This window comes from Homo sapiens, chromosome 18 (assembly GCF_000001405.40).
Source record: "Homo sapiens chromosome 18, GRCh38.p14 Primary Assembly".
Classification (NCBI taxonomy): domain Eukaryota; kingdom Metazoa; phylum Chordata; class Mammalia; order Primates; family Hominidae; genus Homo; species Homo sapiens.
This window is the reverse complement of record NC_000018.10, coordinates 11,580,671-11,582,383: the sequence shown is the minus strand read 5'-3', so window position 1 is coordinate 11,582,383 and position 1,713 is coordinate 11,580,671. Positions and strand designations below refer to the sequence as shown.

Here is a 1,713-nt window from a genome sequence, read left to right as displayed (position 1 = left end):
ACCAGTGCTTCTGCCAGTCAGTGGAACTCTTCACTCATGGGAGTCTAGATCCTTATAGAATTATTCAATCTTCGTTTTAAATATATATATATACATATAAAAATGTGATTTAATAAATATATATTATTTAAATATAAGGACATTGGTAGGCTAGTATTTCAAATAACTACAATTTGCATCTTCAGGTTTCAGGGAAGAAATCTTCAGACATACCAGTCTTCTGGTAATCCCATGAACACAGTAAATCTCAATTAAATCAGCAGGCCTGGTATCACAAAGAAGGAGGAAATGTCCAAGAGGGTCAGTTAGAGGCTTAGGCATGGAGAGTTTGGGGATCATGGAAGATGTCCATCACCTGGGCTGTACAACAGTGGGGGGAGCTAGACACTTATTTCTCTCCTGTGTGGGCATCCTTTCCTTCCCTCCCCCTCCCCTAGCTCTCTTTCTCAGGGTCTCACTCTTGCCCAGGCTGGAGTGCAGTGGTGTGACCTTGGCTCACTGCAGCCTCCACCTCCTGGGCTCAAGTGATCCTCCTACCTCAGTCTCCCCGAGTAGCTGGGTAGGGGCTGCACCACTATGTTTGGCTAATTTTTTGTATTTTTTTTTGTAGAGATAGAACCTTGCTATGTTAGCCAGGCTGGTCTCGAACTCCTGGGCTCAAGTGATCTGCCTGCTTTGGTCTCCCAAAGTGCTGGAATTACAGGCATGAACCACTGCACCCAGCAGGCATCATATTGTTAAAACAAATTTAGCTTAAAGCTGACTCCTTGTCAGCTTTAAGTTTGGCCTAAAGGTTTCCCTATATATAGTGAACTGTAGCCTAAATGGAGTTGTAAACAGACTGTAGCATCTTGTGGCAATCACTGAGTTTCGGCCAATCAAAGGTGGCCAATTGTTCAAACCATATTCAAATGAGGCAAACACCATGCTGTAACCAATCCAGCTGTTTCTGCACCTCACTTCTGTTATCTGTACATCACTTTCCTTTTTCTGTTCATAAATCCTCTTCCACCAGGTGGCTGAGTTGGAGTCTCAGAGCCTATTCTGGAATCGTTCTTTGGTCAATTAAACTTTGTTAAACTCAATTCAGCTAAGGTTTTTATTGTAACAATATTTTTCTACTTCAGTTTCTTATCTTTCACGTCCAATAATCTTTTCAATGGCACTTTGCTTGAAGTATCTGCAAGAGTCTTTATCTGGGACATTCTCCTACTGTGGGGTTAAGCAATTATTTCTACATGTTAGGGCATATAACTGTTTGATTTGGAGACTTTAAAGGTAATTTTGAGTTGTGGCTTATTTTTAATCTTTTACACTGTCAAAACATTCTTTCAGATGCTGTAGTTGAATTTCAAAGGGGGTAATTTCCTGTCCTCAAGTTTAATCTAATAAAATCTCTGATTTCAGGTTTTAAGCAATTGACAAATAGAAATGTCTAAGCTGTGGTCCCTCTGACATCAGAGTCTATGCCTGAGTATGTAAATATGCTTACCAACCTCCAATGGCTTCATCGGCCCTCTGCTTACAAAACTGAAAACCTCAGGGAATCTTTACAAGTTTGTTGTCTTGTATAACCCATAAGAAAGCTGGTCCTATCTTGGCAACCCTGTTGAACCCGTTAGCTGCTCCATGGAACCACTGCCCTTGATGTCCTCTACAGTGAACCTTTCCATCAAGGCTTTTGCATCTTAAAGGCCTGCCAGCTTGCAGGCT

General features: G+C 41.4%; 1 annotated feature.

Moving 5' to 3' along the window:
- Positions 823-922: a silencer, noted in NCBI's record as "silent region_9299". NCBI's record gives its function as "represses an Ori minimal core promoter by ATAC-STARR-seq in GM12878 lymphoblastoid cells {active_cell/tissue: GM12878}" and the evidence as "EXISTENCE:reporter gene assay evidence [ECO:0000049][PMID:35858748]".